This window comes from Homo sapiens, chromosome 19, assembly GCF_000001405.40.
Source record: "Homo sapiens chromosome 19, GRCh38.p14 Primary Assembly".
Taxonomy (NCBI): Eukaryota; Metazoa; Chordata; class Mammalia; order Primates; family Hominidae; genus Homo; species Homo sapiens.
Genome location: NC_000019.10, coordinates 32,947,877 through 32,962,363, shown reverse-complemented (window position 1 = coordinate 32,962,363; position 14,487 = coordinate 32,947,877). Strand labels below are relative to the sequence as shown.

Sequence of the window (14,487 nt, the reverse complement as noted above, 5' to 3'; positions counted from 1 at the left end):
ACAGTTCTGCATGGCTGGGGAATCCTCAGGAAACCAACAATCATGGCAGAAGGGGAAGCAGGCATGTCTTACATGGCGGCAGATGAGAGAGAGCGAGCATGTGAGAGCTCAGAAGAAACTACCATTTGTAAAACCATCTGCTCTTGTGAGAGCTCACTATCACAAGAACAGGATGGGGGAAACCACCCCCATAATCCAATCACTTTCCTCCTTCGACACATGGGGATTACAATTTGAGAGGAGATTTGGGTAATGGCACAGAGCCAAACCATATCAGTGTGTAAGGTATAGATCCATGATTTTTTTTTTTTTTTGCATATGGAAATTTGATTTTTCCAGCACCATTTGATGGTAAGGCTATTAGTTATTTATTGCTGTGTGACAATTGCACCAAAATGTAGTAATTTAAAACAAAACAGCAGCTGGGCGTGGTGGCTCATGGCTGTAATCCCAACATTTTGGGAGACTGAGGCAGGAGGATTACTTGAGCCCAGGAGTTCCAGACCAGCCTGGAGAACATATTGAGACCCCATCTCTACAAAAAATATAAAAATTAGCCAGGTGTGGTGGCGTGTGCCTATAGTCCCAGCTATTCAAGATACTGAGGTGGGAGGATCACTTGAGCCCAGGAGGTTGAGGCTATACTGAGCTGTGATTGCGCCACTGTACTCCAGCCTGGGCAACAGAGTGAGATCGTCTCAAAAAAAAGCCCCAAAACCAAAATATGAAAAATGGTGGTTTTTATCCCACATCTGATTGATGCTCTTTTTTTTTTTTTTTTTTTTGAGATGGAGTCTCGCTCTGTCGCCCAGGCTGGAGGGCAGTGGCGCGATCTCGGCTCACTGCAAGCTCCACCTCCCAGGTTCACGCCATTCTCCTGCCTCAGCCTCCCAAGTAGCTGGGACTACAGATACCCGCCACCACGCCCACCTAATTTTTTTTTTTTTTTGTATTTTTGGTAGAGACAGGGTTTCACCATGTTGGCCAGGATGGTCTCCATCTCTTGACCTCATGATCCGCCCTCCTCAGCCTCCCAAAGTGCTGGGATTACAGATGTGAGCCACTGTGCCTGGCCGGGTCTTTCTTATATGATTTGTTAGGTGGGGTGTGGAGCAGTGCCCAGCCAGGGCTAATTATTCCCCAGTACCCAGGCCAGACCTTTCTGAGTGCTGCACCCGGCATCTTGTGAATGATAGGTTTCTCCAGTCTTCCTGGTGGGAGCAGCTGCCGTCTTGGGCTGTATGTAAGCACCTGGCACTGCTCCTCTGATCCTGGTGAATGGTTCTTCCTCCACTGTCTGGTAATTTCCTCACACTTGTGTGCTGCACTGTATCCCGCTGAAACTAGGGGACCTTCTGCAGATCTCCTCGTTCTCTCTGTGCAGTTCTCTCCTTTCCGGCACTCTATCCTACACATTCTCTCAGCTCCATCTCTGCAACTCAGGGAGTCTGCCTGGCTCCACCCATTCCTCCTCCCTGTGCTGTGACCTGGAAATTTTCCTAGGCAGCAAGCTGGGACGGTGGTCTTTTGTTTTGTTTTACTATTTTTTTTTTTGAGATGGAGACTTGCTCTGTTGCCCAGGTTGGAGTGCAGTAGTGCAATGTAGGCTCATAGTAACCTCCACCTCCCGGGTTCAACCGATTCTCCTGCCTCAGTCTCCTGAGTAGCTGGGATTACAGGTGCGCGCCACCACACCTGGCTAATTTTTTTGTATTTTTAGTAGAGATGAGGTTTCACCGTGTTAGCCAGGCTGGTCTCGATCTCCTGACCTCGTGATCCACCCACCTCGGCCTCCCAAAGTGCTGGGATTATAAGCATGAGCCACCGCGCCTGGCCTTGTTTTACTTTTTTAGGCAGGAGGGTAAATCTGTTTACTCTAACTTTCCTGTAAAATATTCCTGAGTAATTCACAAGTATTTTTAAAGTCCCCTTTTAAATCTTTTAGTCTTTCTATATCTCATTTTCTTTTTCCATTCTGATCTTCCATTCTAATAAGAAAACTACTTGAATGTAGGCTTTTGTGTCTGCCTGGATTAGAGGCCCTGTTCTACCTCCTATTGGCTAGGTAATCTTTACAAGTCATTTAATTTCTATGGAAAATGGGATGACAATAATATGTAGTCATACAGTTGTGTGAGAATCAAATGAGATTGTCTGATGGCCTGCGGTAGATGATGGGTGCAGAGTAAATGCTCAGTCGACACTGTCCAGCAGAAGGTAAGCCTTGATGAGTTTATGTACCTTGTTCAGCATTCACCTGGAATGTTCATGTCTCACTGTCTCCATGGGATGTTTTTGTCCGCAGATCTGCTCTGGCAGCAGCCATTCTGGCGACAACATTGACTGGGCGGACGGTTGCTATTCCTCAGCCTCGCCAGAGGTCCCGGTCTGAGAGTGATGTGAGCAGTGTTGAACAGGACAGCTTCATCGAGCCCTATGCCACCACCTCACAGCTGAGGCCTCGGTAGGTACCAGATCGCCGCCTCTGCTTCCTCTGAGAGTGGAAGAGGGGCAGGCTCAGCCTGGTCTCTACGTGTATGTGTGCATGCGTACATGTGTGTGCATGTGTACCTGTGTGGGTGCGTGGGTGCTCATGCATGTATTTATGACTAGAGTCTTAGTCACTGGGTTTTCATCACCAATGTCAAATGGACACTGTCCAGCAACCTAATTGCTCTGCGATCTGGATTTCCTCCATAGTGGATCTTGTTAGATTTTGACTTGTATGGGTCCTGGCCATTTTCACAGCGGCACAGAGCTAATGAATTCAGCGCTGCTTCCAGCCCTTAGTAAGTTTCTTTGTGCAGCAACCTGAACAGTGAGAGTGGTCCCTCCTTACCTCTCACGTGTATCTCTGGACATTCACATTAATTTGATCTTCTTGGCAGCTGCAGTTTAGCCTTTTTTCTTCATCATCTTTTCCTTTGTTGCTTGTCCTGGGTTTGAGCTGACACAGGGCTAGGGGGTCAGGAAGGTTTCCTCCTGAGGAAGAAAGGGTCAAGGGGAGAGCTTAGGATGTACAGGAATCATCTAGGAACAGCTCAAGGGCTAGGCATGATCTTTGTGGGGCTGGGATGAGCTTTCCAGACAGAAACGAGGGAGTGTGACACAGGTGGCAGTGGAAAGAGGATGTTTGGGATGCGAGATGGGGCTGGAGGAGTGGGCAGGGACCAGGCTGGGGGTGCCTTTGGTGTCCTGTTTAGAGGGTTGGTGTCTGCCTTTGGAGTGGTGGGAAGACACTGGAGGTCTCTAAGGGTGCATGGGGCAGGGATGGGAGTAGGGATCCACGATCACATTTGTCTGTTTTTTTTTTTTTTGTTTTGTTTGTTTTGTTTTGTTTTGTTTTGAGACAGAATTTCACTCTTGTTGCCCAGACTAGAGCACAATGGCACAATCTTGGCTCACTGCAACCACCGCCTCCTGGGTTCAAGCCATTCTCCTGCCTCAGCCTCCTGAGTAGCTGAGACTACAGGCACACGCCACCACACCTGGCTAATTTTTGTATTTTTAGTAGAGACGGGGTTTCTCCATGTTGGTCAGGCTGGTCTTGAACTCCCGACCTCAGGTGATCCACCCGCCTCGGCCTCCCAAAGTGCTGGGATTACAAACGTGAGCCACCATGCCTGGCCACATTTGCCTTTTTAATTGTCACGTATATTCACCTTTGTGTTGGGTTGACTTTTTTGAGACAGAGTCTCACTCTGTTGCCCAGGCTGGAGGGCAGTGGTGCAATCCTGGCTCACTGCAACCTCTGCCTCCTGGATTCAAGCGATTCTCCTGCCTCAGTCTCCTGAGTAGCTGGGATTACAGGCGTGTGCCACCTCTCCCGGCTAATTTTTGTATTTTTAGTAGAGATGAGATTTTGCCATGTTGGCCGGTCTGTAATCCTGACCTCTGGTGATCCGCCCACCTTGGCCTCCCAAAGTGCTGGGATTACAAGTGTGAGCCACTATGCCTGGCCTGTGTAGGCTTTTTTGATATACTAAATATTCTGTATTTTATATTTAGTAAAATCTATCCATTTTTTCTTTACATTTTCTGTAATAATTGTAAATTTAGTAAGACCCTTCCTACTATTAGTATTATATAAATACTTAATGTATTTCCTTCTAGGGCTTGTTTTTATTTTTGTTTTGGCCAAAAATATTGCTACCATTTTGAGATATTTGAATTTAACCTTTTTTTTTTTCCTGGTAAGCATTATACTTTGGCTGAGTAAAAACTAAAAACGAGTAAATCGTTCTAAAATTCAGTGGAAAAAATAAGCACGTAAGACCATCAGAGGAGATGGTCTGACCCACAGGAGTGCTGGACTATCCCCATTGTATTTTATTTTTTGGCGGGGGGGGGATTTTTTTGTTTTGTTTTGACACAGGATCTCATTCTGTTGCACAGGCTGGAGTGCAATGGCACAATCATGGCTCACTGCAACCTCCTCTTCCTGGGGTCAAGTGATTCTCCTGCCTTAGCCTCCCAAGAAGCTGGTACCACAGATGCTTGCTACCGTGCTTGGCTAATTTATTTATTTGTTTTTATATTTATTTATTTATTTTTGAGCCAGAGTCTTGCTCTGTCACTCAGGGTGGAGTGCAGTGGCATGATCTCGGCTCACTGCAACCTTTGCCTCTTCAGTTCTAGCAATTCTCCTGCCTCAGCCTCCAGAGTAGCTGGGACTACAGTTGTGCGCCACTACACCTGGCTAATTTTTGTATTTTTAGTAGAGACAGGGTTTCACCATGTTGGCCAGGCTGGTCTCAAACTCCTGGCCTCAAGCCATCTGCCCACCTTGACCTCCCAAAGTGCTGGGATGACAGGCATGAACCACTGTGCCCAGCCCAGGCTAATTTTTATTTTTATTTTGTAGAGACAGGGTTTCCTGATATTACCCAGGCTGGACTTGAACTTCTAGCTTCAAGAGATCCTCTCTCCTTGGCCTCCCAAAGTGCGGGATTATAGGTGTGAGCCATGCTCATGCACGCACATACACTCAATTTCAAGAACTATTTCCGATTAAATCCACAACCACCCCATCTCTGACTTTTCCATCAACCTAGGTAAACCTACCTTTGCCAAACCCTAAAAACAAGAGACTAAAAAGCAACCCAGTCAGAGCCCAGAAATTATATTTTAACCACGAACATCCCAACAGCTACCCCTCAATTGATGCAATAAAAAGCCATTGTGCCCAGCCCTGTCATATTTTAAAACATATAGATAAAGTAGCAAGAACAGTGTAGGACTAGTTGAGTGATACAGAGGTGCCCAGGAATGCCCTGAGGTGAACGTAGTGTTTCTACAAGCATACTGAATCTTTAATAAAGCCTGTCCCACAGCTCAAAGGGGAAGGAAAGCATTCAGTGCTATATTGATTAGCAGTATTAGAAATCAGCTTTGAGCCTCGCCTAAGTCATACACTAAAATAAATTCCTAATGAATGAAGGACTATACTCTATAGACACACAAATAAGACTGTGAAATCCAATATCCAGTCTTATCACACCTCTTCAGGGATATGACTGCTATTTGCTTTTACACCAAGAATTTAGAAAGTAAAAAAACCTTTTTAATCGCTTTTATGTTTAAGAAATTTATATAAGCAAAATAATATTAATAGAACAGAAAAAACATTTATAGTAAAAGCAAAGTCAGGACTTTAATTTTAGTAGATTAATTTTAGTAATTTCAAATTGGAATGGAAGTCAAGTGTGGTGGTTCACACCTGTAATCCCAGCACTTTGAGAGGCTGAGGTGGGAGGACTGCTTGAGATCAGGAGTTTGAGACCAGCCTGGGCAACAAAGTGAGACCCCCATCTCTACAAAAAAATACAAAAATCATCCTGGCATGGTGTTGCTCACCTGTAGTCCCAGCTGCTTGGGAGGCTGAGGCAGGAGGATCACTTGAGCCCAGGAGGTCAAAGTTGCAGTATGATCTTGTCACTTCACTCCACCCTGGATGACAGAGTGAGACCCTGTCTCAAAAAAAAAAACAAAAATAAAAAAAGAAAAAACAGGCCGGGTGCGGTGGCTCACGCCTGTAATCCCAGCATTTTGGGAGGCCGAGATGGACGGATCACGAGGTCAGCAGATCGAGACCATCCTGGCCAACATGGTGAAACCCTGTCTTTACTAAAAATACAAAAAATTAGCTGGCGTGGTGGCGGGCGCCTGTAGTCCCAGCTACTCAGGAGGCTGAGGCAGGAGAATGGCGTGAACCCGGGAGGTGGAGCTTGCAGTGAGCCAAGATGGAGCCACTGCACTCCAGCCTGGGGGACAGAGCGAGACTCCATCTCAAAAAAAAAAAAAAAAAAAAAAAAGAACCAAATTGGAATGGACATACCAGAAGTAAAACAGACAAAGGACCTGAACACAAGTATATGGAAAAACATTCAGTCTCAGTAACAAATGCAAATTTAGACAGTGGGTTTTAAGTTGTTTTGGCAAGTTTTAGAAAATTATTACCAGTGTATTTATAGCTTGGAGAAATGATTTTGTGCAGTATGTATGTAGACACAAAATGTTCACACCATTTGACTCAAGAATTTACTGTATGGGCCGGACACAGTGGCTCACGCCTGTAACCTCAGCACTTTTTGAGGCTGAGGCGGGCGTATCACTTGAGGTCAGGAGTTCAAGACCAGCCTGGCCAATGTGGTGAAACCCCATGTCTACTAAAAATACAAAAATTAGCCAGGCATGGTGGCAGGCGCCTGTAGTCCCAGCTACTCGGGAGGCTGAGGCAGGAGAATCACTTGAACGCGGGAAGCGGAGGTGGCAGTGCACTGAGATCGCGCCACCACACTCCAGCCTGGGTGACAGAGCGAGACTCCATCTCAAATAAAAAAGATAAAGAAAAAAAGAATTTACTCTATGGCGGTTTGTTTTATGTGAGTAACCTTAAATACAGTAGGGGTTATCTGCACACAGATGTTTATTACAGGGTTATCTACAACAATGGAAAGTGAAGGAAAAAAACCCCACCTAAGCAAGGAAAATGGCTGGTTAAGCTGGTATATCTAGTGGATTCCTACCTTTTAAAATGTTGACTATAAAAACTCATTAATAGGCTGGGGACAGTGGATCATACCTGTAATCCCAACACTTTGGGAGGTTGAGGTGGGTGGATCTCTTCAGCTCTGGAGTTTGAGACCAGCCTGGGCAACATGGTGAAACCCCTTCTCTACTAAAAATACAAATAAACAAACAAACAAAAAATTAGCTGGGTATGGTGGAGTGCATCTCTAGTCCCAGCTACTCGGGAGGCTGAGGTAGGAGGATCACTTGAGCTGGGGAGGTGGATGCTGCAGTAAGCCAAGATTGCACCTCTGCATTCCAGCCTGTGTGGCAGAATGAGACCCTGTCTCAATTTAAAAAATAAAAATACTTATTAATAGCAGGCTGGGGCCAGGCATGGTGGCTCAGGCCTGTAATCCCAGCACTTTGGGAGGCCGAGGTGTGCAGATCATTTGAGGTCAGGAGTTTGAGACCATCCTGGCCAACATGGTGAAACCCCATCTCTACTAAAAATAGAAAAATTAGCCAGGTGTGGTGGCGAGTGCCTGTAATCCCAGCTACTCAGGAGGCTGAGGCAGGAGAATCACTTGAACCCGGGAGGCAGAGGTTGCAGTAAGCCAAGATTGCACTACTATACTCCATCCTGGGTGACAGAGTGAGACTCTGTCTCAAAATAATAATAACAATAATAATAACAACAGGCTGGGCTCAGTGGCTCATGCCTGTAATCCTAGCACTTTAGGAGGCTGAGGCAGGCGGATCCCTTGAGCCAAGGAGTTCAAGACCAGCCTGGACAACATGGTGAAACCCCGTCTCTACAAAAAATACAAAAACTAGCTGGGCTTGGTTAGTCCCAGCTATTGGGAGGCTGAGACTGGAGGATCACCTGAGCCCAGAGAGATTGAGGCTACAGTGAACCATGATTGCACCACTTCACTCCAGCCTGGGAGACAGAGTGAGACCCTGTCTCAAAAAAAAAACAAAAAAACAAAAAACCCTTATTCATAACAAGACAAATTGTATATGTATGCAGTAACTCTAAAAACAGAAACTAGAAGGATATGCCAAGTGTACAAAGAGATGGGACGGTGGAAAATTTAATCTTTTAGCTTCTGTGTACTTTGTAGTATCCCACATTTATGGTAAGGACTTGGAGGCAGTGCATTTAATACATGATACTGGCCGGGCACAGTGGCTCACGCCTGTAATCCCAGCACTTTGGGAGGCCGAGGCGGGCGGATCACGAGGTCAGGAGATCGAGACCACCGTGGCTAACAGGGTGAAACCCCATCTGTACTAAAAATACAAAAAAAAAAATTAGCCAGGCGCGGTGGTGGGCACCTGTAGTCCCAGCTACTCACTAGGCTGAGGCAGGAGAATGGCGTGAACCCACGAGGCGGAGCTTGCAGTGAGCCGAGATTGTGCCACTGCACTCCAGCCTGGGCGACAGAGCAAGACTCTACCTCAAAAAAAAAAAAAAAAAAAGATATTTATCAGTGTCAAGTGTTAAGTGACTTTTTGTTTGTTTTCCCCATGAATATTCTAATACAGGCCAAATTGGCAGAGTGAGATGGGAAGAAGATCTTCTTTGCCATCCTTTGAAACACTGGACTATGGGGACGAAGAGGACATTGAAACTCAGCTGTCATCCAGCGGCAAGGAATTGGGGGATGTCAGTGCCCGGGAGGACAGAGGAGGCCACAGTGATGACCTGTACGCTGTGCCACACAGAAATCAGGTGTTTTCTATGTTCCCAGTTTTCTTCTTGACATTCACCCTGATGTTAACTTTTGGTAAATTAGTGCATTGCTAAGGATTTCTTCTCTCTATTCTGCATTTGATAGCATTTGCTTTGGGGCTTATTTTTTTAAACGTGTCCAGCCTCATTTCTATCTGGTTAGATTAAAACATAAACTTCTTTCCTTTATCTTGCAAAAACAAAGATTAACATCTTCATATTGTTAATGTGGAGTTCCATTCACAGCTTAGCAATCTCGTTCTTTTCTTTGACCTTGGAAGCTAAATTTCCTATCACTTTTATGGTATCATTTTGCACACTGCAGCCTTTCTTTAAATTCATGCCTGACGGGGAAGATCGTCATGCGTGTCTCAATGGGAGCTGACGTGCTTTGAGTGTTTACTGTGAGCGCTCCCGTTTCTAACTCCTGTGTGCATTTATCTTAGCTGACCCCCACTGACTCGCTGAGGAATTCCCTTCATTGCCCTGTCACACATCAGGGCACTGCACACAGAGAGATTCAAGGAAACATACTTCTCCACTGCCAGCTGCTCTGCGAATCCCGATTTTTAAACTGCTCCCAGGGTTTTGGAAACTAGATAATGACATTTCTTTAATGGCAAAATATAGCACCATATCCCTTTTTCCTTTATTTTTTTCTTTCTTTTCATTTCTTTTCTTTTTCTTTTCTTTTTTTTTTTTTTTTTTTTTGAGACAGAGTCTTGCTCTGTCCTCCAGGCTGGAGTGCAGTGGCACCATTATAGCTCACTGTAGCCTCAACCTCCTGGACTCAAGTGATCCTCCCACCTCAGCCTCCCAAGTAGCTGGGACTACAGACACACACCACCATGCCTGGCTATTTTTTGTGCTTTTTGTAGAGACAGGGTTTCTCCATGTTGCCTAGGCTGGTCTTGAACTCCTGACCTCAAGCGATCCGCCTGCCTCAGCCTTTCAAAGTACCTGGATTACAGGTGTGAGCCACTGTGCCTAGCCCCTTTTTCTTTTTTTCACCATCATTATAATGTGTTATTCATAGTGTCTGTACATATAGACCAGCAGCATTAAGCTACACCGGTATTGATTATATGTATATTAATTAGCCCCTACTATATTAAAACACTTTTTTTTTTTTAAATTGAGATGGGGTCTCACTGTCCCCAGGCTGGAGTGCAGTGGCACGATCCTAGCTCATTATAGCCACCTCCTCCTGGGCTCAAGTGATCCTCCCACCTCAGCCTCCCGAGTAGCTGGGGCTTTAGGCACGCGGCACCACAACTGGCTTTTTTTTTTTTTTTCTATAGGGCCAGGGTCTTGTTATGTTAGCCAGACTGGCCTTGAACTCCTGGGCTTAAGCAATCCTCTTGCTTCGGGCTCCCAAAGTGTTGGGATTACAGGCATAAGCCAACGCCCCTGGCCCTAAAATACATTTTAAATGGTCTTCAGGAGCTTATTTTGAGGGATCCTTATGTGGCTGTTTCATGAACTCACCATCATTTTCCCACATATACAGACTTTCACACATAGAATTAGGCTTCTCATAGCAAGCAGCTCTGGAATAGGCAGACACTGCCCAGAGCTCAATATGGACAACTGTGCTCCTGTCGAGCTCTGCAGGGCTCAGAATCAGTCCCACTGCTCCTCACCCGCACACTTGCCGGCTGGTTATTTTGTACCGATGTTACACATAGAGTCATATCTCTCCACTGTTCTAGAGGGAAAGCTTACTACAATATTTCCCTTGGAAGAAAGAGATACAGTGACCTACAGAGACTCTTTCCTTGCTAGAAGGACAGATATTTTGTTTTTTTAGGCAAGTCTGTTAGGGTGGCTTTAGGAGCCATGTGTAGTAGGAAAATTTTTAAATTTTAACATGTGAAAAGTAGAAAATAATAAATAATAAAATGTTACCATTAGGGTAGATGTTGCCTTGTCCCCTAACCCCACTCCCTCCTTGGAAACTCATCTTTTCTTGGATTTGGAGTGCATCCTGGAAGTTTGTGTTTTTATTCTTTTACTACAAGTTTAAGTAAACAACTGTAGTAGTGTGCGTGTGTGTGTGTGTGTGTGTGTGTGTGTGTGTATATATATATATATATATATATAATTTTTTGTTGTTGTTTATTTCTTTTGAGACAGAGTCTTGCTCTGTCGCCCAGGCTGGAATGTAGTGGTGCAATCTTGGTTCACTGCAACCTCCGCCTCCTGGGTTCAAGTGATTCTCCTGCCTCAGCCTCCCAAGTAGCTGGGACTACAGGTGCCCGCCACCATGCCCAGCAAATTTTTGTATTTTTAGTAGAGATTGGGTTTCATCATGTTGGCCAGGATGGTCTCGAACTCCTGACCTCAGGTGATCCTCCCAAAGTGTTGGGATTACTGGCGTGAGCCATTGCGCCCAGCCAAGCCTTTTAAAGTATGTTTATATAAAGTATCACAAATTCTTTATGAAGGTATGTTTTTAGTAGACTTATTTATTGATATATAAAATATGCACAAGAAGTGAGTAAATCATAAGTGCACATTTCGATACATTTTCAAAAAGTAGCCACCACTCAGATTAAAAAAAAATTACTTGTACCCTAGAAATCACCCTTCTTCTTAGTCACTACTTCCCACAGAGTTAACCATTGCCAAGATTAGCTTTAATCTTTAAAAATAACCTGAGATTAGCTTTGCCTGTTCTGAAAATTTACATGCATTTAATTAGACGATATGCATTATTTGGAGTTTGGGAGTCTTCAGTTATTGTGTATAGCAGGGGCGGGTTTGTTCTCATTGCTGTATATTTTACTGTACAACCGTGCCACTCAGTTATTCATTTTACTGATGACAGAGACTTAATTGGTTCCAGTTTGGGACTCTTAGGAATAGTGCTGCTGTGAACATTTGGCGATGTGTCCCTTGATGTACATATTTGTGTATTTCTGGTGGGTATATACTGAGGAATGGTATGTGTATGGTCATAGGGTATATGTACCATCAGCTTTAGTACCAGTAGATACTGCCAAACGATTGTCCATATTGAGCATCTTCTTAATGCTTTTTTTGTGGGGGTGAAGGGGGCAGAGTTTCACTCTTATTGCACAGGCTGGAGTGCAATGGCACGATTTCTGCTCACTGCAACCTCCGCCTCCTGGGTTCAAGCAATTCTCCTGCCTCAGCCTCCTGAGTAGCTGGGATTACAGGCATGTGCCACCACACCTGGCTAATTTTATATTTTTAGTAGAGACAAGGTTTCTCCATGTTGATCAGGCTGGTCTTGAACTCCCGACTTCAGGTGATCCGCCTGCCTTAGCCTCCCAAAGTGCTGGGATTATAGATGTGAGCCACCATACCTGGCCCCTAATGCTTTTTAAGTCATCTTACCTATTTCACATTTCCTTGAGAATAGTGAGTCACTTAATATATTTTTGACAGGTTGAACAAGGAAGTTTGTTCCTGGGAGATAAAAAAGCTTGAGGTCGGCCTTGCGTGGTGGCTCACACCTATAATCCCACCACTTTGGGAGGTGGAGGTGGGAGGATCATTTGAGGACAAGAGTTCAAGACTGGCCTGGACACCATAGTGAGATCCTGTCTGTATTAAAAAAAAAAAAAAGTACGGGGCCATTTACTTTTTCTTTCTTCAAATGATGAGTATCTTGGGAGACCTGTTTGCTTCTCTTGAGCCAGGTCATCTTGGAACCATGTCCACAGAGACAGGTGGACGTAGCAGCCTTAGCTCTTACTCTGAAATGCCCCTTCTCATGGGCGTCTTGCTAGTCCCTGCCACCACCTCCTTGTCAGCCCCAGGGACAGCCCTTCCATTGCCTGCAGTGCAGCCCAGCTAAGCCAAACTGATCACAAAAGCAAGATTTTACTGAAGAATCAGGAGAGCCAAAGGGCAGCCCACCCAGACAGCGCCAGTCACAGTTTACCATGTAACAACTGGTTCAGGTCGAGTGCAGTGGCTCATGCCTGTAATCACAGCCCTTTGGGAGGCCAAGGCAGGAGGATCACTTGAGGCCAGAAGTTCAAGACCAGCCTGGACAACATACTGAGACCCCATCTCTACAAAAAATTTAAAAATTAGCTGGGCTTGGTGTCATACGCTTGTAGTCCTAGCTACTGGGAGGCTGAGGTGGAGGATTGCTTGAGCCCAGGAGGTAAAGGCTGCTGCAAGCCATGATTGCGCCACTGCACTCCAGCCAGGGTGACAGAGTGAGACCATGTCTTAAAAAAAGAAAAAAAAAAAGACCTGCTTCACTGTTCTTTCTCTTCCTCTTAGGCAGCCTCTGTCCCTACCCCCAGGCTCCTGCCAATGGAAATATCTCCTCCTCATCAGCGGCAGGTCCCATTCCTGGCCCATGGGCCTCTCTAAAGGACAACTCTGTGTCCCTGCCATGTTGGGATGAAACAAAATTTCAGCAGCTCCTATATAGCTAACATGAATGGTTACCTATATAGGAGCTACTCTCAGTCAGTAGAGGGGAGTCCCTCAGTAAATGAAATTTACAGTGGACTTACATAATTGGTGAACATAGGAGGCTTCAATGAGAGTCCTCCCAGGGGAGGTCAGCACTGCTTGTCCCACATAGAAATGATTAACACAGGCTGGGTGCAGTGGCTGTCATCTGTAATCCCTGCATTTTGGGAGGCTGAAGCAGGAGGATCGCATGGGCCCTGGAGTTTGAGACGAACCTGGGCAACATAAGGAGACCTTGTCTCTACAAAAAATAAAAAAAAAATTACCTGGTTGTGGTGGTGCACGCCTGTGGTCCCAGCTACTCCAGAGGCTGAAGTGAGAGGATCGCTTGCACGTGGGAAGTCAAGGCTGCAGTGAGCTGTGATCACACCACTGTGCTCCAGCTTGGGTGACAGAGGAGACCCTGTCTCAAAAAAAAGGGGTGGGGGGAAACTAGTAACATGGTGTCAGTACCAGGGTGGAGTGGCATTGGGTGGTCCCTGGCAGGGATGAGGAAGGGAAGCTGCCCTGGCAACATGGCTGGGATGTGGAGCTCTCAGTGGCCTTAGCATAACTTTAATGGTGTTGCCTTTGCCCCCTAAGCTTTTCCTGAGGGCCTGGAAGTGTCATCCAGCCCCACCTGATATACGCCTTTTGTGTGTCACTGAGGAAAGCAGCTGAAGTGCCCATGGAGGAAGCTCCCAGTGGGGAAGGTTTGAAAGATGTTGGAATTTGTTAGGAGGACATGCTGTATATAAAGGTTACCTTTCTCACTTTTTTGCTCCTTTGTCTTTTATAACAAAAAGGTGCCATTGTTACATGAGGTGAACAGTGAAGACGATGAAAATATTTCTCATCAAGATGGGTTTCCAGGCTCCCCTCCTGCACCACAGCGGACACAACAAAAAGGTAGAAAAAAAAAACCACAATTTTTATAAAATATAAGAACATTTTTTCATAATGAATATTGCTTATTTTTAGGAAAACATACCCATTGCCCCTTCATGCTGTAGCTCTGTGATTTTAACTAGGAATATAATTGAAATTTATTTTTTATTGAAAATGAGGGTCCAGGTGTGGTGGCTCACGCCTGTAATCCTAGCACTTTGGAAGGCCAAGGCTGGAGGATCCCTTGAGCTCAAGAATTTGAAAGCAGCCTGGGCAACACAGGGAGACATCGTCTGTACAAAAAGTAAAAATAAAAACATCAGCCAGGCAAGGTGGTGCACGCCTACAGTCCCAGCTACTCAGAAGGGCGAGGTGGGAGGATCACTTGAGCTCGGAAGGTCAGGGCTGCA

General features: G+C 45.4%; 1 protein-coding gene across 4 annotated transcripts in view; it reads left to right on the top strand.

The window, feature by feature from the left end:
- The window catches only part of CEP89 (centrosomal protein 89), a 96,034-nt gene that overhangs the window by 9,595 nt on the left and 71,952 nt on the right, over nt 1-14,487 (top strand). For all 4 annotated transcript variants that reach the window (XM_005259344.4, NM_032816.5, XM_017027398.2 and 1 more), the window contains exons 3-5: nt 2,306-2,464; nt 8,563-8,749; nt 13,996-14,098. In XM_005259344.4, coding sequence (XP_005259401.1) covers nt 2,306-2,464; nt 8,563-8,749; nt 13,996-14,098 — 449 coding nt within the window. The remainder of the gene's footprint in view (nt 1-2,305; nt 2,465-8,562; nt 8,750-13,995; nt 14,099-14,487) is intronic.